General features: G+C 52.3%; 3 pseudogenes across 8 annotated transcripts in view, besides 4 other annotated features; 1 reads left to right on the top strand and 2 right to left on the bottom strand.

The window, feature by feature from the left end:
- Positions 1-19,516, top strand: part of RABGEF1P1 (RABGEF1 pseudogene 1) — a 62,103-nt pseudogene that overhangs the window by 32,393 nt on the left and 10,194 nt on the right. For 7 of the 8 annotated variants that reach the window (NR_111974.1, NR_111975.1, NR_111979.1 and 4 more), the window contains one exon: positions 5,178-6,547. The product of NR_111974.1 is annotated as an RABGEF1 pseudogene 1, transcript variant 1 (transcript). Of the gene's footprint in view, positions 1-5,177; positions 6,548-8,165; positions 8,196-14,328; positions 14,415-18,652; positions 18,774-19,516 lie in introns of those variants that run through there. The other variant, NR_111973.1, reaches the window with a different exon arrangement.
- Positions 609-841: a silencer, noted in NCBI's record as "fragment chr7:66024161-66024393 (GRCh37/hg19 assembly coordinates)". NCBI's record gives its function as "represses an EF-1alpha promoter that drives an FKBP-Casp9 reporter gene in an ReSE screen in K562 erythroleukemia cells {active_cell/tissue: K562}" and the evidence as "EXISTENCE:reporter gene assay evidence [ECO:0000049][PMID:32094911]".
- Positions 868-1,683: an enhancer, noted in NCBI's record as "H3K4me1 hESC enhancer chr7:66023319-66024134 (GRCh37/hg19 assembly coordinates)". NCBI's record gives its function as "activates a minimal SCP1, AML or CMV promoter by ChIP-STARR-seq in naive H9 embryonic stem cells {active_cell/tissue: H9 hESC(naive)}" and the evidence as "EXISTENCE:reporter gene assay evidence [ECO:0000049][PMID:30033119]".
- Positions 1,684-2,499: an enhancer, noted in NCBI's record as "H3K4me1 hESC enhancer chr7:66022503-66023318 (GRCh37/hg19 assembly coordinates)". NCBI's record gives its function as "activates a minimal SCP1, AML or CMV promoter by ChIP-STARR-seq in naive H9 embryonic stem cells {active_cell/tissue: H9 hESC(naive)}" and the evidence as "EXISTENCE:reporter gene assay evidence [ECO:0000049][PMID:30033119]".
- Positions 2,179-2,288: a silencer, noted in NCBI's record as "silent region_18206". NCBI's record gives its function as "represses an Ori minimal core promoter by ATAC-STARR-seq in GM12878 lymphoblastoid cells {active_cell/tissue: GM12878}" and the evidence as "EXISTENCE:reporter gene assay evidence [ECO:0000049][PMID:35858748]".
- SAPCD2P3 (suppressor APC domain containing 2 pseudogene 3) lies at positions 2,241-3,863 on the bottom strand (annotated as a pseudogene).
- Positions 14,344-19,516, bottom strand: part of LOC100420547 (GTF2I repeat domain containing 1 pseudogene) — a 34,118-nt pseudogene continuing 28,945 nt past the window's right edge.

Genomic DNA, 19,516 nt, shown 5'->3' with positions numbered 1-19,516 from the left:
TTTTTTGTTTTTTGTTTTTTTTTGTTTTTTGAGATAGAGTCTCGCTCTGTCACCCAGGCTGGAATGCAGTGGTGCGATCTCGGCACACCGCAAGCTCCACCTCCCAGGTTCACACCATTCTCCTGCCTCAGCCTCCGGAGTAGCTGGGACTACAGGCGCCCGCCACCACGCCTGGCTAATTTTTTGTGTTTTTAGTAGAGACGGGGTTTCACTGTGTTAGCCAGGATGGTCTCGATCTCCTGACCTCATGATCCACCCGCCTCAGCCTCCCAAAGTGCTGGGATTACAGTTGCGAGCCACCGCGCCCGACCTATTTATTCTTATTAAGCGGTTAATACCACTTTTGGAAATGTATCGCAGAGAAGTAACCCAAAAGAAGATAGTCCTTACAAAATTATTTATAGCTGCAGTGCACAACAGTGAAAAGAGGGGAAGCAACCCAAATGCACAGTGGTAGAGAGTCAAATAAGTCAGTTAATATAATGGAATGTTACAAAGCTACCAAAAAGGATTCAGTGGGTTAGATAAATAGAAATGTCCACAAAACATGTAAATTATCAAAACATGCATTAAATCTATTTAAGAATATGTAGATATAGCAAAAAGAATGAGCTGGTCATGGTGAGACTGCTAGGTGGGAAGGGGTCCTGGGAAAAACCCCAACCGGCCTGTACACTGGGGTGGAGCCCCCCGGAAAAACTCCAACCGGCCTGTGCACTGGGGTGGAGCTTCGGGAAGTGGCGCAGTCTTTTGTAGCAGGGAGGAGCCTGGCCCCTCTTCTTTCTGTGTAGAACCTGGGATTCTAGCTGCTGGCAGGAAGCACTGTAGCAGAGACTCTGGCCTTGTGAGAGTCCTTCTTTCCCCCTTTTCTTCCTTTTCACTCAATAAAACCCTGTCTTACTCACCATTCAAACCGTCTGCCAGCCCGGGGCAGACACTCTTCTGTCTCCTGCTTCCAGTCCTGTAAAGATGCCAGGATCTCCCAGGGCATGGCAGGCACCCTCAAAGGTAGACGTGATTGAGGCCCTAATGGGCTGTCTCCAGCCTGCTGACGGGGGTGGCGGCTTCTCCCGGGCTGCCGCTGGCCAACCCACTGCGCTGCAGTCCACCTGGTGCTGGGGCTGTGGTGCTAGGGCTGTGGGGCACAGTCCTTCAGGACCCACTCCCTTTCCTGCCCAGAAGATCCAGGCCTGGCGTCCTTATGTCCCCTGGAAAGCTCACTCCCATCCTCAGGGTAGGAGGGCAGTTGCACGCTGGGCTGGTTTGGGCGTGTCCTGGGACACCCCTGCAGGCCAGATGCAGCAGGGGATGTGGCTCTGAGGGGTTGCTGTGGGCAGGTTAGCGTGGAGCTGGGTTCTGGAAAGGAGTTGCCGTGCTGTCTGCCAGGACCCCTCCTCTGAGACAGGGTTGCCTTGTGGGACAGTGCCCCAAAGTGCCCTGGGCACGAGGGGTCCCTGCGCCCCCCACACACTGACCCCGCATTGGGGGGCCCTGCACCCCACACACTGATCCTGCATCGGGGGGCCCTGGACCATCCTTGATGTTGCCATGCCCCTAGCTCTGGTGGCACTGGGACCCTCCAGGATGGGCTGAGCAGGGGCCCCCTCCACCAGTGCAAACCCCAGCACCAGCGGGAGTGGGCCTAGGCAGGGGGTGCAGGGAGTGACACTCAAGGGGACCTGCCCCAGCCTCCTCTTGTACTCTGGGGGTTCTCGTTTTCCTTGGCTGAGGGAAGTGGCCTCTCCCCGCTGAAACCTGGGGTCAGGCTGAGTGTGGGAGGAAACGGGGGTGGGGAGTGAGCAGGACCCCAGACCTTGGGAATCCTGAGTTGGGGTGGGGGGGCAGGCTCTGCCTACGATGTGCCTGGGGGCCTGGGCTGAACCCCCTCCTGGGGAGCCAGGCTCACAGGTTGTTCTGTGGGACTCAACAGGGGACAGCGTCCTGGCCAGGGTGAGGAAGGCCATCACACCGGGGTCTGCGGGAGGCATATGCAGGCTAAGCTCTCACCTGCCTGGCCCCCCCCACCCCGCAATCTGCTGCAGCCATTCTCTCTGCCTTGGCCGGGACCCGAAGTCCGACCACCATTCCTGGGGCTCCCCTGCCAGGCGGGCACCCCCTGCTTAGAGGCCATCCCCACCCCCTCCATCTGCCCCTGTCCTAGTGACAGCCACCTGTCCTGGTGCCCTGGTTGAGGGGAGGAAGCTGTCCTTGCACCCCTGGTCTCGGGCGCAGCCTCAGCGCCGCATCAGAGCTGCCCGGCCCCCCTCTACTGGCCATTGTCGGAAGTGCAGCCCGGCGTGAGCATTGCCTTTCCCTGGAGATGGGACCCAGAGCAGCACCGCTGGAAACAGGGAGTCCCCCACTGTTCCTGACAGCGGCAGTAGCAATTGCGGACCATGCAGACTCAAGAGAGCCCCAGCCCATGTCAGCACCAGGAGCCAAAACCGAGTCAAGGGCTCGGTGCGGGGACCAGCTGGGGGCGGACCTGGGAAGCCTGGATGGCAAGTGGGGCAGGAAGGCGCCCACTCCGGGACTGCCTGGGCTGCAGGGGGTCTCCAGCCAGAGACGTTGGGTGAGACAGGGCGTCCGCCCTCGAAGGGCTGAGTGACAGAACTGCCCTGGGGTTCCGCCCAGCCCAAACGGGCTAGATGAAGGTGGAGTCCAGAGGCCTCCCCGTCCTGCTGGCTGAGGGCCTGGGCCTCAAACAGCTGCTTCATTATGAGCGCCGACTTCTGCTCCAGCTGCATGACGCGCCCACTCTTCTCGGTCACCTCCTGGGTGAGGCGTCGGTTCTGCTCCTTCAGCATAAGGATAGTCTGCTGCTGCCACCCCGGGAAGGAGGTGAACGTCAGGGCAGGGCAGAGGGGCCCGGAGGAGGACGTAGGTAGGGCCCGGCTGGCACCGGCCGCAGCCAGCAACTCCCCCACGCACCGGGCCACCTCCTGTACCTTAGGCAGTAGCCGCCCCAGTGGGTGGGGGCTCCCCGCAGGCCCAAAGTCGGCGCTGGCTCTGCTCTGGCCCAGGCGGCACTGGCGGTCCTGCACTGGTTGCAGCCGCTGCTGGTACCAGTCGCGACCCCGCCATCATCTCCAAACCCTGCAGCAGCACCACCTTCTCCTGCTCCAGCTCCTTCATCTGCTTCAGCAGGCCGCAGTCCACGCCGCTGGTGATGGTGAGCCTCCGACTTCCCTTCGGGCACGGGGGGCCAGTCGGACATCCCGAGTCCACCTCCAGGGCCCTGCAGGCCAATGAACCTGCGTCCGCGCTTGCGCTCTGGGTCCGCTCTGGCTCCGCGGGCAGGACGCCGCCTCGGCGGGGGGTGTACAGCTGCTCCGGGCTGCGGGCCGCGCCGCGCCGCCTGAACCTGGGCGGGGGCTTCTCCAGGACTGTCTGTGGCTCGTTGGCCAGCGTAAACGCCAGGCGCTGCAGCGGCTGGTCCCCAGGCTGGGCCGGGGCGCACGTGGGGTCCCGGGGGCAGCCGATGGCGCTCAGCAGCTAGGTGGGCAGGTCGGCCACAAAGCGCTCGAAGGTCAGGCAGCCACTGGCCGAGGCCACCTGGCGCAGGCCCTCCAGCATCCCACGGGGCAGCTCCCGCGTGTCGGCCCCCCGCCAGCGGGACTGGCTCTGGCGCAGGTGCACGCAGCCGCCCCGCGGGTCGTCCAGGATGTCCAACAGGGTGCGCAGGCTCTGCAGGAAGGCGCACGGCAGCCCCTCCGTGCTGGGCGCGGGCGCGGGCGCGAGGGGGAGGCACGTGGCCCCGCTCAGCCATGGCAGCCCCAGCCATGGGCGCCCGGGCTCGGTCCCAGCGTCCACCCGCGTCCGTCCCCGTGCGGCCCCACGGCGGGGCCAGCCCAGCCCACAGCAGTCTCAACCTCTCGGGCTCAAGCCATTTTTCTGCCTCAGCTTTTCGAGTAGTTGGGACTACAGCCACGCACCCCTACGTGGGCTAATTTTTGTATTCTCGCATCCAGTACAAAGATGCTTTTTGTAGTAGCCACATTTCTAAAAAGCGGTATGCAAATTGAGATTGTCGAAAACATTCTAAAATGTAACAGAGGCACAGAAGCAATAAAAAGATTCTTTTATCAGACAACTTCTTCCTTCTCCGTGGAGCTCAGAGGCAGCTTACGTTGTGATTAGAAATGTGGGCTTGGCCAGGCGTAGTGGCTTACACCTGTAATCCCAGCACTTTGGGAGGCCAAGGCGGGCAGATCACCTGAGGTCAAGAGTTCAAGACCAGCCTGGCCAACATGGTGAAACACTGTCTGTACTAAAAATACAAAAATTAACTGGGCGTGGTGGTAGGCGCCTGTAATCTCAGCTACTTGAAAGGCTGAGGCAGGAGAATCGCTTGAACCTAGGAGGCAGAAGTTGCAGTGAGCAGAGATCAGGCCACTGCACTCCAGCCTGAACAACAAAGAGTGAAACTCCATCTCCAAAAAAAAAAAAAAAAAAAAGACTGTGGGCTTTACAGTCAGATAGACATGGTTTCAAATTCCCACCCTGCTACCTGCTGTCTGTATGATCTTGGGCAAATCATTTAACTTCTCTGAACTTCAGCCCCCTCATCACTAAAATGGATAATATTAATAAGAGTATCCATTGTGGCTGGGCGTGGTGGCTCACGCCTGTAATCCCAACACTTTGGGAGGCTGCCTGAGGCAGGCGGATCACCTGAGGTCGGGAGTTTGAGACCAGCTGGCCCAACATGGAGAAACCCCAACTCTACTAAAAATACAAAATTAGCTGGGCATGGTGGCACATGCCTGTAATCCTAGCTACTCGGGAGACTGAGGCAGGAGAATCACTTGAACCTGGTGGGTGGAGGTTGCGGTGAGCCAAGATTGCACCATTGCACTCCAGCCTGGGCAAAAACAACGAAACTCCATCTCAAAAAAAAAAAAAGAAAAGAAAAAAAGAAAAAATAAGAGTATCTATTGCATAATCTTAGGATTAGAGAAATGTGCTTGTAGGGTACACTGTGTAGTACTTGGCTTATGGGTCTGTTTTCCGTGAGTATGAGATCATATTTACTAAGTTATTATACACTAAGTTAACTGCTGGAAAGGGGGTTAGTGAGGATTCCTTCATAACTTTAGAGATGAAACATGATTTTCCTATTGCTTCTTTTTTGTGATTCTTTTCTCATGGGAAATACTGTCTTTTCTGCTTTGTAGATATTGAAATGGATTCCAGGCGTGTGCCTCGAGACAAGCTGGCCTGCATCACCAAGTGCAGCAAGCACATCTTCGATGCCATCAAGATCACCTAGAACGAGCTGGCGTCAGCAGATGACTTCCTCCCCACCCTCATCTACATTGTTTTGAAGGGCAACCCCCATGCCTTCAGTCTAATATCCAGTATATCACGTGCTTCTGCAATCCAAGCCGACTGATGACTGGAGAGGATGGCTACTATTTCACCAATCTGGTGAGTAAGTGAGTTCTTGGCGTTGTGGAGAAGGACTAGGAAGGTGGTGGTTTTGGGGATGTGATAGGTCACTCAGGCCCATGACAGGTGAATGCTTCTGTGTGAGAAGGCAGCACGGCTGAGGAAGCTCACTTTGCATCAGGGAGCACAAGGACCAGGCCGTACAGACACTCCGCCTCCCCGCACTTGATCAGAGATTGTGTTTATCCTACAGAAACAGATGACATGTGTTGGGCATCACTCCCCACGGTCCTGGGTAGAAGAGTCCTTCACTTGGCAGGGCTTTTTCAACCAATGAATAAGGCAAATTATATATAAGTTAATAATGCCATTTCGAACCGAGACAGATGGCAGCTAAATGAAGTTTAATTAAAGAATGAGCGCTGGGGCCCTTTTTATTGGGTACTGCATCTACTTCGACCACAAAAGACGAAGTGACCCCAACTTCAAGAACAGGCTTTGAGATGGAAGAAAGAAACAGAAGCTTGCCAAGGAGAGAGCTGGGCTTTCCAAGTTACCTGACCTTAAAGATGCTGAAGCTGTTCAGAAGTTCTTCCTTGAAGAAATACAGCTTGGTGAAGAGTTACTAGCTCAAGGTGAATATGAGAAGGGCGTAGACCATCTGACAAACGGAATTGCTGTGTGTGGACAGCCACAGCAGTTACTGCAGGCCTTACAGCAAACTCTTCCACCACTAGTGTTCCAGATGCTTTTGACTAAGCTCCCAACAATTAGAGAATTCTAAGTGCTCAGAGCTTGGCTGAAGATGATGTGGAATGAGAAACAAATGTTAACATAATAAAATCTCAGTTAAAAATATTTAAAAAATTCTTGGTAGTTGAGCAGCTCTGGGGGAATAAGGGCAAATATCCTTGTTATGAACTACACTGAAATCTACCAAAGTTAATGTTTACTTTGTGTAGGTCCATTTGTCTATTTTATTTATTTTTCCCAGTGAAAAGTGTATTTTGATAGAGAACTTTTCATTTTATAAATACACTATGAGTTACTGAAAATTCATATCATGGATTTCATTTATTCCTGAAACATAGTTAAAATGTACATATGACATGGCTTATGTTAAAAATACCCAGTGCTCAGTTTTGAAAGATAGGCACAAAAAAAAAAAAAAGTATAGGAGAAACTGAAGAATGTACACCTTTTTAGCTGGCACATTTTGCTGTAAATCCGGAAATTTGATAGACTTGATTGTGTTTGTGAAAACTGAGCATTAAAGGTTTTTTAATTGATCATTTCTTTAAAAAAAAAAAAAAAGAATGCTTTTTTTTGGAGACGGAGTCTAGCTCTGTCACCCAGGCTGTAGTGCAGTGGCGGGATCTCGGCAGGAGTCAGCAGGTGTTTTGCGGTTGCTGAATTTCCTTGAGGTGAAGATGTAAGACTTTGAGCAGCACATCCTGATTGGATGGGTTACTGCATGGAAACCTCGCCCAGCCCGATAAAGAAGGGCTTTTTTTGTCTTTTTTGAGACACGGTCTCACTCTGTCACCCATGCTGGGGTGCAGTGGTGTGGTCTTGGCTCACTGCAGCCTCCATCTCCCAAGCTCAAGCGATCCTCCTGCCTCAGCCTCCTGAGTAGCTGGGACTACAGGTGCACACCACCCTGCCTGGCTAATTTTTTGTAGAGACGGAGTCTATGTTGCCCAGTCTGGTCTTGAACTCCTGGGCTCAAAGAATTCTCCTGCTTCAGCCTCCCAAAGTGCTGGGATTACAGGCGTGAGCCACTGCACTCAGCCCACCAGAAGGGTCTTAATGACACAGAGTAAGGGCAGGCTCGGTCCACGGGGCAAATGTCTCTTCAATTGGTGGAGAAAAGTCAGAAACTAGGTGTCTGTGATGTGGCATAGAGACCCTGGGAAAGAGAAGACCCTGGAGGCAGGAGGAGCCCAGGCTATGAGTCAGAGGGATTTTTGTGGGATATTCAACATGAAAAAGAAGTCAGATGCTGCCCCACCCTCTGTCTCAGACTGGTCCATGGGCTGTGGCCATCCTTGAGTCACCATGAGAGATGGCCATATTGGAGGGAGTGGTGGATGTGGGTGACAGTGCCCACCCTCTGGGCATCTGTCCCAAATCTTCCTGAGGCATTTATGTGGCCTTCTGTGTCTCTGCCATGTTTTTTGTTTTTTGTTTGCTCTTTTTTTTTTTTTTTTTTTTTTGAGACAGAGCCTGGCTTTGTTCCCCAGGCTGGAGTAGAGTAGCATGATCTCGGCTCATTGCAACCTCCACTTCCTGGGTTCAACTGATTCTCCTGCCTCAGCCTCCTGAGTGGCTGAGATTACAGGCGCCCACTACCAACCCCGGCTAATCTTTTTTTTTTGGATTTTAGTAGAGACGGGGCTTCACCATGTTGGCCAGGCTGGTCTCGAACTCCTGACCTCAGGTGATCCACCCACCTCCCTGCCTCAGCCTCCCAAAGCGTTGGGATTACAGGCGTGAGCCACCGCGCCCGGCCTGTCTCTGCCTTTGACCTGAGAGCAAACCAGGTCGCCTCCAGATCTGTATGTTCAGTGCCAGGCCTGACCCTTGTAACTGGCTCTTTTTTTTTGGGAAACAGTGTCTCACCCGGTTGCCCAGGCTGGAGCACAGTGGCGCAATCATAGCTCACTGCAGCCTCCACCTGCCGGCCTCAAGCACTCCTCCTGCCTCATCCTCTTGAGTAGCTGGGACAATAGGTACGCGCCACCACGCCTGACTAATTTTTAATTTTTTTGCAGAGACGGGGGCAGTCTCACTACATGGCCCAGGTTTGTGATCAGCTCTTGGTGGAAGGAGGTGGCTTCTAGCTGGGCTATGCCACCCCAGGCTGTGGAGTTCCAGGTGAACCTGGTCCTGACAGGAGTCAGGGCCTAGGGTCTCAGGCCAGGTTGTGGCGTGGCCTTGCTGAATCCTATCACTGTCCCTGCTGAGCAGCCATACTGGGCCCTGTGGTGGTTCAGATGGATGGTCCTGACAGCACGGTCTGCACAGCGTCTGACTCACTTTGTGGCCTGGGCAAGTCCCTGGCATCTCTGCACCTCAGCTTCCCAGCTGTACAATGAGGTGGGGTAAGATTAGATCAATATTTTTTCTTTCTTCTTCTTTTTTATTTCTTAGGAGATGGGGTCTCAGCCAGGCACAGTGGCTCCCACCTGTAATCCCAGCACTTTGGGATGCTGGGGTGGGAGGATCACTTGAGGTCAGGAGTTTGAGACCAGCCTGGCCAACATGGTGAAACCTCGCCTCTACTAAAAATACAAAGAATTAGCTGGGTGTGGTGGTGCATGCCTGAAGTCTCAGCTACTCGGGAGGCTAAGGCATGAGAATCGCTTGAACTCAGGAGGTGGAGGTTGCAGTAAGTCAAGATTGCAAGATTGACTCCAGCCTGAGCGACAGAGCGAGTCTCTGTCTTGGGAAAAAAAAAGAAGGCCGGGAGCAGTGGCTCACACCTGTAATCTCAGCACTTTGGGGAGCCAGGGTGGGTGGATCATGAGGTCAGGAGTTCGAGACCAGCCTGGCCAACATGGGGAAACCCTGTCTCTACTAAAAATAGAAAAAACAGCTGGGCGTGGTGGCAGGTGCATGTAATCCCAGCTGCTTGGGAAGCTGAGGCAGGAGAATCAGTTGAACCCAGGAGGCAGAGGTTGCAGTGAGCCGAGATCGTGCCACTGCACTCCAGCCTGGGCAACAGAGCGAGACTCTGTCTTGGGGGGAAAAAAAAGAAGAGATGAGGTCTCATTCTGTCATCCAGGCAGGAGTACAGTGGCATAATCATAGCTCACTGCAGCCGTAAACTCTGGGGCTCAGGTGATCCTCCGGCCTCAGCCTCCTGTGTAGCTGGGACTACAAGTGCCTACTACCACGCCTGGCTAATTTTTAGAAAAAACTTTTTGGTCTATGGCCATACCACCCTGAATGCGCCTGATCTTGCCTGATCTCAGAAGGGAAGCAGGGTTGGGCCTGGTTAGTAGTTGGATGGGAGAAAAAACTTTTTGTAGAGACACGGTCTCATTATGTTGCCCAGGTTTGTCTCAAACTCCGGGACTCAAGCAATCCTCCCACTTAGGCCTCCCAAACTGCTGGGATTAGAGACGTGAGCCACCACACCTGGCCAATCAGTGTTTCTTTTTCTTTTTCTTTTTGAGACAGAGTCCTGCTCTGTCATCCAGCTTGGAGTGCAGTGGTGTGATCTCGACTCACTGCAACCTCTGCCTCCTGGGCTGAAGCCATCCTCCCACCTCAAACGCCCAAGTAGCTAGGACTACAGGCGTGCGCCACCATGCCGGCTAATTTTTCTTTTTCTTTTTTTTTTTTTTTTTTTGAGACAGAGTCTTGTTCTGTTTCCCAGGCTGGAGTGCAGTGGTACAGTCTTGGCTCACTGCAACCTCTGCCTCCCAAGTTCAAGTGATCCTCCTGTCTCAGCCCGCCTAGTAGCTGGGATTACAGGCATGCATCACCATGCCTGGCTAATTTTTGTATTTTCAGTAGAGATGGGGTTTTGCCATGTTGACCAGGCTGGTCTCCAACTCCTGACCTCAGGTGATCCGCCCACCTTGGCCTCCCAAAGTGCTGGGATTACATGGGTGAGCCACCGTGCCTGGCCCTAATTTTTCTATTTTTAGTTGAGACAGGGTTTCACCATGTTGGTCAGTCTGGGCTCGAACTCCTGTTCTCAAGTGATCTGCCTGCCTTGGCCTCCCAAAGTGCTGGGATACAGTGTTTCTTAATCGGGTGCACATCATAGTCACCCGTGAGTAATTTCTCCCAAGTCCTATCATACACCTTAATCGGAACCATCATGCCAGGTGGCCCCCAGGTGCCTGGTGAAAGGTTCTGTATACCCTGCAGATGCCAGCAGAACGGAGGGGGTCCAGCCAGTCTCTGGCAGTGCCCGCCTGCCTCACCCCTGTCAGTCACATGCTACCCCTCTGCTACCCAGGAGGCCCCCATGATCCTCCCTGAGGCCCAGCCTGCCTCTTGTCCTTCTAGCTGACCTCATACACTCATTGGTGCTATGGCAGGGCCTTCCCTCTGTAGGGCACCTGCAGGTTTCGGGGGGCCTCTTGGGGATACCTGTCCTTGTTCATGGAGACCTCAGGCTCCCTGGGGAGGCACCAGGGTGGAGAGGGGCTATATTTTTTTCAAGGTGGTAAGCCATCTATTGCATGCCCACCTGGACCACATCTATCTCTGCCTTTAAAAAATTTATTAAAATTTTTTTTTTAGAGACAGGGTCTTGCTCTGTTGCTCAGGCTGGAGTGCAGTGGTACAATCATAGCTCACTGCAGCCTCCAACTCCTGGTGTCTCTGTCTTTTTCATTTTTTTTTTGAGATGGAGTCTTGCTCTGTCTCCCAGGCTGGAGTGCAGGGGTGTGATCTCAGTTCACTGCAACCTCCGCCTTCCGGGTTCAGCAATTCTCCTGCCTCAGTCCCCCAAGTAGCTGGGATTGCAGGTGCCCACAACCACGCCCAGCTAATTGTTGTATTTTTAGTAGAGATAGGGTTTCACCATGTTGCTCAGGCTGGTCTTGAACTCCTGACCTTAAGTGATCTGCTTGCCTCCCAAAGTGCTGGGATTATAGGCGTGAGCCACTGCACCCGGCTCTACCTTTTTTTCAAAAGGAACAGTCTAGTCCCCACAGGGCAGAAGGGTGGCTTCCTTGCCTCCGACTCACCTGGCACCTTGGCATCATTGCAGATTTCTGCAAAGGGTCTGAAAAAGAAAGAAAAGAGGTGGCAGTTAGAAAATGAGGTTTTCCCCTCCTTTTTTTTTTTTTTTTTTTTTTTTTTGAGATGGAGTCTCGCTTGGTCACCCAGGCCGAAGTGCAGTGGCACAATTTTGGCTGACGGCAGCCTCCACCTCCTGGGTTCACACCATTCTCCTGCCTCAGCCTCCTGAGTAGCTGGGACTACAGGTGCCCGCCACCACGCCCAGCTAAGTTTTATATTTTTAGTAGATACGGGGTTTCGCCGTGTTGGCCAGGCTGGTCTTGAACTCCTGACCTCAGGTGATCTGCCTGCCTCCGCCTCCCAAAGTGCTGGGATTACAGGCATGAGCCATTGCGTTTGGCCGTTTTCCCCTCCTTCTCACCTGCCCTCTGAGATGTGGTGCTGCTGCTGCTGCAGGAGCCTGGTAACACCGAAATAAAAATGGGGAACACACCGTCCCGACAGAGCATTCCCCATATAGGCCCTGGACGATGGACCTGGGCTGGCAAATCATTCCTCCAGGTCTGCTGTCCTCATCTATAAAGCGAGGATATTGTCTGACCAAGGGATCAGAAACGTGTGCCCAGATTTATGCAAGTGGATAGTCATCACAGCATTATTATCAATTACTATTTTTGAGACAGTCTTACTCTTTTGCCCAGGCTGGAGTTCAGTGGTGCCATCCTAGCTCACGGCAGCCTCAAAGTTCTGGGCTCAATCAGTCCTTCTGCCTCAGCTTCCCAGTAGTTGGGAATGCAGGTGCACACCACCATGCCCGTCTAATTTATTTTTTAATTAATTAATTTTTTTTTTTTTTGAGATGGAGTCTTGCTCTGTTGCCCAGGCTGTTGTGCTATGGCATGGTCTCAGCTCACTGCAACCTCCACCTCCCAGGTTCAAGCGATTGTCCTGCCTTAGCCTCCTGAGTAGCTGGGATTACAGGCGTGAGCCACCACACCTGGCCGTTTTCCTGCATTTTCTAGTTGTTACTTCGGGGGGGTGAACTATCTGTGGGAGAAAGGGAAACCTCCACTTTTTGATTTTGAACAATTTGGGTTTTTTTGACACATGCAAATATTATCTTAATTTAAAAAAACATGCAGGTCAGCACAGTGGCTCATGTTTGTAATCCCAGCACTTTGGGAGGCCAAGGCAGGCGGATCACTTAAGGTCAGGAGTTCGAGACCAGCCTGGCCAACATGGTGAAACCCTGTCTCTACAAAAATACACAAATTAGCCGGGTGTGGGGGCAGGCACATGTGATCCCAGCTATTTGGGAGGCTGAGGCACAAGAATCACTTGAATGCCGGAGGAAGAGGTTGCAGTGAGCCAAGATGGTGCCACTGCACTCCAGTCTGGGTGATAGAGCAAGACCTCATCTCAAAAAAACAAAGAAACAATACATGTAATATAACATTGAAGGCGGGCTGGGCGCAGTGGCTCAAGCTTGTAATCCCAGCACTTTGGGAGGCTGAGGCAGACAGATCACCTGATGTTGGGAGTTCGAGACCAGCCTGACCAACGTGGAGAAACCCCGTCTCTTAAAAATACAAAATTAGCTTGGGTGGTGGCGCATGCTTGTAATCCCAGCTACTCAGGAGGCTGAGGCAGGAGAATTGCTTGAACCTGGGAGGTAGAGGTTGCAGTGAGCCAAGATCGTGCCTTTGCACTCCAGCCTGGGCAACTAAAGCAAACTCCATCTTAAAAAAAAAAAAAAGAAAGGCCGATGTGGGAGGATGGCTTGAGCCCAGGAGTTTGAGACTAACCTGTGCAATAAAAAAAAAAAAAAAAACAAACGTCTGGGCGTGGTGACTCATGCCTGTAATCCCAGCACTTTGGGAGGCCGAGGCGGGTGGATCACCTGAGGTCAGGAGTTCGAGACCAGCCTGACCAATATGGTGAAACCCCGTCTCTACTAAAAATATTTTAAAAAAATTGGCCACGCGTGGTGGCATGTACCTGTAGTCCCAGCTACTCAGGATGCTGAGACAGGAGAATTCTTGAACCTGGGAGGTGGAGGTTGCAGTGAGCTGAGATCACGCCACTGTACTCCAGCCTGTGCGACAGAATGAGACTCCATCTCAAAAATAAAGTAATAATATATTAATAAAATAATAATTTAAAAATATAAAGAAATGCATCAAAGTGTTGACTTTCAGTAGGAGACTTACAGCTATCTTCTTTTCTTCTATCTTTTCATATTTTCCAGGTTGTTTTGTGTATTGTTCTGAAAATAAGCGAATCATCTATTGTATTAAAAAAAAAAAAAAGACTGGGCCACACAGTTTGGGTGTGGTGGCTCACGACTGTAACCCCAGCACTTTGGGAAGCCAAGGTGGGAGGATCACTTGAGCTTAAGAGTTTAAGACCAGCCTGGGCAACACAGTGAGACCCTGTTGAGGCTGCAGTGGGTCAGGATCATACCTCTGTACTCCTGCCTGGGCAACAGAGTGATACCCTGTCTCAAAACAAAAACCAAAACCCAAAAGACTGTAAGGATATATGGTATAGTAGTAATAACGGAGGCTGGGTGCAGTGGCTCACACCTGTAATCCCAGCACTTTGGGAGGCTGAGGCAGGCAGATCACTTCAGGTCAGGAGCTCGAGACCAGCCTGGCCAACATGGTGAAACTCCATCTCTACCAAAAAATACAAAAATTAGCCAGGGTGGTGGTGCACACCTGTAATCCCAGCTACTTGGGAGGCTGAGGCATGAGAATGGGTTGAAGCCAGGAGGTGAAGGTTGCAGTGAGCTGAGATCGTGCCACTGCACTCCAGCCTCGGTGACAGAGCAAGACCCTGTCTCAAAAAAAAAGAAAAAAAGGTAATCACTGAGACTATGGAATTATAATTATTTTAAAAAATATAATAAATATTCATATTTATATTTAAACATTGATATTTAAATACAAACGTATTTATATTTAAATGTTAAAAATCAGAATTGTATAGTCAGAAACAGTCAAATTTAATTAAAACATGTTTTTGTTTCTTCCCCAGAGAACAAATATAATATCTAAAAAAAAAAAAATCTTTAAAAATAAGTAAATGTCCATAAGTGTTGAAGTTGTATGTTTCAGGAGAAAGAGGCAGGAACTATTGTAGTACACCTGGGTCTGGATCCCAGCTGACCCACCATGACCTTGACTTTCACCCTCCCCATGGTCTTGCCCTCTCTGTTCCCCGTTCCAGAGGCTGGGCACTCACTGCAGCTGGCTAATGATGACCATGTGGACATGCTTTCGGGCCTTCAGGATCTTCTCCAGCCAGTGGATGTCGTACGTGTTGGGGTTCCGGAAAGGGATGTCAGGTGGTGGCTCACACCTGCGATCCCAGCACTTTGGGAGGCCAAGGCGGGTGGATCGCTTGAGCCCAGAAGATCAAGACCAGTCTGGGCAACATGGTGAAACCTCGTCTCTACTAAAAATAGAAAAATTAGCCGGGAGTGGTGGCGCACGCTTGTAGTCCCAGCTACTTGAGAGGCTGGGGCAGGAGGATTGCCTAAGCCCATGAGGTGGAGGCTGCAGTGAGCAGACATTGCACCACTGTACTCCAGCCTGGGCAACAGAGTGAGACGCTGTTTAAAAAAAAAAAAAGAAAATCAACATACACAAAATGTGGGTCATGGGCAGAGCAGCCATGTCCCCAGGGAGCAGGCAGGCCAGCTGGGGGCTCCTGAAGGCTAGGCTGGCTGCAGAGGGAGGGAGGGCCTCCCCCTTTCCCCGGGAGGAGGGCTTGGTGTGCTGACCCTGACCACAGACACTGACTGTATTTCTCGTTGAAGAGTTCCTTCACCTGCTCCTGCAGGATCACCTCCCCAAGTCTGTTGGTATCATCTTCATCTAAAGAGGAAGACAAGGGGGCCTGAGAGTTGGCACTGGCTTGGCCACCAGACCTGCTGCTTCTCCCACCAGGCATCCCTGACCTGCCAAAACATTCTCTGCAGGCCCTGCCTACTCCCATGCAGCTGTTTGTTTGTTTAGTTACGTATTTATTTTATTTAATTAATTAATTAATTTATTTTTTGAGACAGAGTCTCGCTCTGTTGCCCATGCTGGAGTGCAGAGGCGCGATCTCAGCTTACTGCAACCTCCACCTCCCAGGTTCAAGTGATTCTCCTGCGTCAGCCCCCCAAGTAGCTGGAATCACAGGCACCGCACCACCATGCCTAGCTAATTTTTGTATTTTTTAGTAGAGACGGGTTTTCATCATGTTGCTCAGGCTGGTCTCAAACTCTTGGGCTCAGGTGATCCACCCGCCTTGGCCTCCCAAAGTGTTGGGATTACAGGCGTGAGCCACTGTGCCTGGCTGTAGCTGGTTTCTAGCCCCAGTTGTTGGTCTGTCCATCCATCCATTTTTCTTTCTTTGAGACATGGTTTTGCTCTGTCACCCAGGCTGGAAGGCAGCGGTGCAATCAGATAGTTCACGGCAGCCTCCAAATACCAGGCTCAAGTGATCCATACTGCCTCAGCCTCCTGAGTGGTTGGGAATACAGATGTGTGCCACCATACCTAATTTTTTAAATTTTTGGTAGAGATGGAGTCTCACTATGTTGCCCAGGCTGATCTTGAACTCCTGGCCTCAAGCGATCCTCGTCTTGGCCTCCCAAAGTTCGGGAATTACAGGTGTGAGCCACGGTGGCCAGCCCATCCGACATTTTCTTATCAGTGTCCCCAGCATAGGCCCTGTGTTGGGCACAAAACAACCTAAAGAGGCAGGGCTGCTCCCCTGAGGGTCTCCCAGCCAGAGGGGGTGTCACCTGGTCACCAAAGTACAACAGACACACTTAGGAGACAAGGGGCATGAATGAGGATGCCCATCCTGTCTGGGCAAGTCTGGGGAGACCTCCCCCAGGAGAGCAGGATGCTTGAATGGGCTCTCAAGGCCTGACATTGGTGGCTCATGCCTATAATCCCAGCACTTTGGGAGGCAGAGGCAGGCAGATCACTTGAGGCCAAGGGTTCAAAACCAGCCTGGCCAACATGGTGAAACCCCGTCTCTACTAAAAATACAAAAAGATTAGCTGGGCGTGGTGGCAGGCACCTGTAGTCCCAGCTACTCGGGAGGGTGAGGCAGGAGAATCGCCTGAGCCTGGGAGGTGGAGGTTGCAGTGAGCAGAGATCATGTCACTGCACTGCAGCCTGGGAGACAGAGACCTGTCTCAAATAAAAATGAAAACAACAACAAAAAAAATGGGCTCTGAAAAGGCAGGTAGGAGTTTGTGAAGGATGGAGTGGCAGTGTGAAGACACCGGGGCAGAAGGACCAGCCATGCACAGGCACTCAAGGGTGAAAGATCCTATGCTGGCCAGGTGTGGCGGCTCACGCCTGTAATCCCAGCACTGTGGGAGGCTGAGACGGGCAGATCACCCTGGCCAACATGGCAAAACCCCATCTCTACTAAAAATACAGCAATTAGCCGAGTGTGGTGGCGGGCACCTGTAATCCCAACTACTCAAGAGGTTGAGACAGGAGAACTGCTTGAACCCGGAAGGCAGAGGTTGCAGTGAGCCGAAATCACGCCATTACACTCCAGCCTGGGTGACGAGCGAAACTCCGTCTCCAAAAAACAAAAAAAAGAAAAGAAAAAAAAAGAAAGATCCCTTGTCCTGGAAGTGGCTGAACTTGGGGGTGGTACAGGGGAGACAACTGATGGGCCTAGCGGGGTCCGTGCACAGGGGCCGGTGTCACTGTGCTGGGCTGTTGGAAATCCCCTGACTGCTCGCTGGCCAAGGTCTGTGAATGGGAAACAGACTGTGTCTGGGAGTGTGGGGGCTATGCATTCTCCCTGCTCACTGCCCTGGCAACTGTCACGGCTTATCTGCTGCTTGAGCCCCGGCGTGCTCCGCTCTCCCCTCCCTGTAGCCTAGAGTTGCTGCTGGGGTCAGTTAGCCCTGGAGACGGGGCCTGAGCTGGGCTGTAAGGCTGAGGGGTGGTTGGGCTGGAGATGGGGTCTGGGGCAGAGCTCTGCAGCAGCCTGTGGGTTTGTGCCAGGGTTGAGGATGGGGCTGGGATTGCAGGAAGGCTGGTTTGCATGTCCAACAGGAAATCTCTCTGAGAAGCATGGGTTCACATGGGCTGGGCCTCTGGGGCAGGCAGGTTGGGTAAGGGTGAGATGTTGAGGGGGGTGAAGCTAGAAGCAGGCAGGGAGCTAGGGCCGGATGAGGCAGGGCAGAGCAGACTGATGAGTCGTTGGAACAAAATGACTCCTTTTTTTTTTCTCTTTGTTTTTCCAAGACACAGTCTCACTCTGTTGCCCAGTCTGGAGTGCAGTGGCGCAGTCTCGGTTCACTGCAACCTCTGCCTCTCAGGTTCAAGCCATTCTCGTGCATCAGCCTCCTGAGAGCTGGGACTACAGGCGCCTGCCACCACATCCGGTTAATTTTTGTATTTTTAGTAGAGATGGGGTTTTGCCATGTTGGCCAGGCTGGTCTTGAACTCCTGAGCTCAGGTGATCTGCCCACCTCGGCCTCCCAAAGTTCTGGGATTACAGGCGTGAGCCATGGTGCCCAGCCTGGCTCCTGTTTTTTGAGACAGGGTTTCACCCTGTTTCCCAGGTTGGAGTATAGTGGTGCCGTCATGACTTACTGCAGCCTTGAACTCTTTGGCTCAAGCAGTCCTCCCCACTCAGCCTCTCTAGTAGCTGGGGCTCCAGGCATGAATCACCGTGCCAGACTAAGTTTTTTTAAAATTTTTTGTAGAGAGAATCTCTCTCTGTTGCACAGGCTATTCTTGAACTCCTAGGCTCAAGTGATCCTCCTGCTTCAGCCTCCGAAAGTGCTGGGATTACAGTTGTGAGTCACTGTGCCTGGCTCTTTTAATCTTGAAAACTCTGGGAAGAGCTCACTTCTGTTTAGGAGGCTGCCTTGGGAACTGCATCTCCTGGGCTGGTGCTCTGTGCTGCTTGGAGTCTGCAGACCCTATCTGGGTCGCTTGGCCTCCCGTGCACAAGCTGCCAGAATGGAGGCCCCATTCTCAATGTGGGGGCTGCCCAAAGAGCAGGGAGCTTCCCACAGGACAGAGGCTGGGCACCTGCTTGGCCTGGTTCTTCCTTTTCCCAGGGCTCCAACACCCACCCCCTCAGGTCCTCCCAAACCCTGCAGGTCCCTGGCCTGGTCCGTCCACACCTACACTCAGGAATCTCTACACATCTCTGAGTTGCTGCATCTGTCTTCAGGCACAGCCCACCAGCCCCCCTGGGTACCCAAAGACACCGCAAATATCAGCCATTCCAGACAACGTCCTCCTCCCGTGTCCCTATCTCATGGAGTAATGCCTCTAATTCAGCCACACCAAGACCCCACGCTCCACATCCCCTAGAACTCTCATCTCCTGTGGCCCAACATGGCCCTTCCTTTCAGCAGTGGGATGTGGGAAGGATCAAGGTCACCCTTGTCCAAATCCCATGCAGACAACGGTGTTGGAGTCTTGGGCCCAAAGACCAGCTCCTAGAACCTGCAGGGAAGCAACGGCACGTTCCATCTCTCCCCATGCCACTGAGGAATCATTGGTGGCAGGATTCTCAGCAGGCATGGCCGTGGGTGCACAGAACAGAGAAAGGATGGCCTGGACCACACACATCACTGTGTGCAGATGCTTTCCTAGACACTGCAGCCAAGGACACAGAGGCTCAGAGAGGTAAAGAAACTTACCCAAGGTCACACAGCCACTAAGCACCAAGAGTACTCTGTGTCGACCCCAAAGCCCTGGTCTTTCCACTCTACCATGAGCCCTGGGTTTCCTGGTGTCTCAGATTCCCCTACAGTTTTTCTTTCTTTTCTTTCCTTCCTTCTTTCTTTCTTTCTTTCTTTCTTTCTTTCTTTCTTTCTTTCTTTCTTTCTTTCTTTCTTTCATCTTTCTTTCTTTTTCTTTTCTTTTTTTCTTTCTTTCTTTCTTTCTTTCTCTCTTTCTTTCTCTCTCTCTCTCGCTCTCGCTCTGTCACTCAGGCTGGAGTACAGTGGTACGATCTTGGCTCACTGCAACCTCTGCCTCCTGGGTTCAACTGATTCTCATGCCTCAGCCTCCTGAGTATCTGGAATTACAGGTGCCTGCCACCATGCCTGGCTAATTTTTGTATTTTTAGTAGAGACAGGGTTTCACCATGTTGCTCAGGCTGGTCTTGAACTCCTGGCCTCAGGTGATCCGCCCGCCTCAGCCTCCCAAAGTGCTGGGATTATAGATGTGAACCACCATGCCCGGCCTCCCCGACAGTAGCTATAGAAAGAAGGCTTAGTCTTAAAGATAGTTTCCCCTAAATCTGTTGCTTTCAGCCCACAGTGCCACGCCTCTGTCTTCTCCTATTCCGGGACAGAGCAAGACTCAAAGTCAGAGCTCTACGAAGCTTGCAGGATAGAAAGAAGCTTAGCAGGCCCCTCAAAGAT

The sequence above is a fragment of the Homo sapiens genome, chromosome 7 (assembly GCF_000001405.40).
Source record: "Homo sapiens chromosome 7, GRCh38.p14 Primary Assembly".
Taxonomy (NCBI): domain Eukaryota; kingdom Metazoa; phylum Chordata; class Mammalia; order Primates; family Hominidae; genus Homo; species Homo sapiens.
Note: the sequence above shows the minus strand (reverse complement) of the source record. Positions and strands in the feature narration are given on the sequence as shown.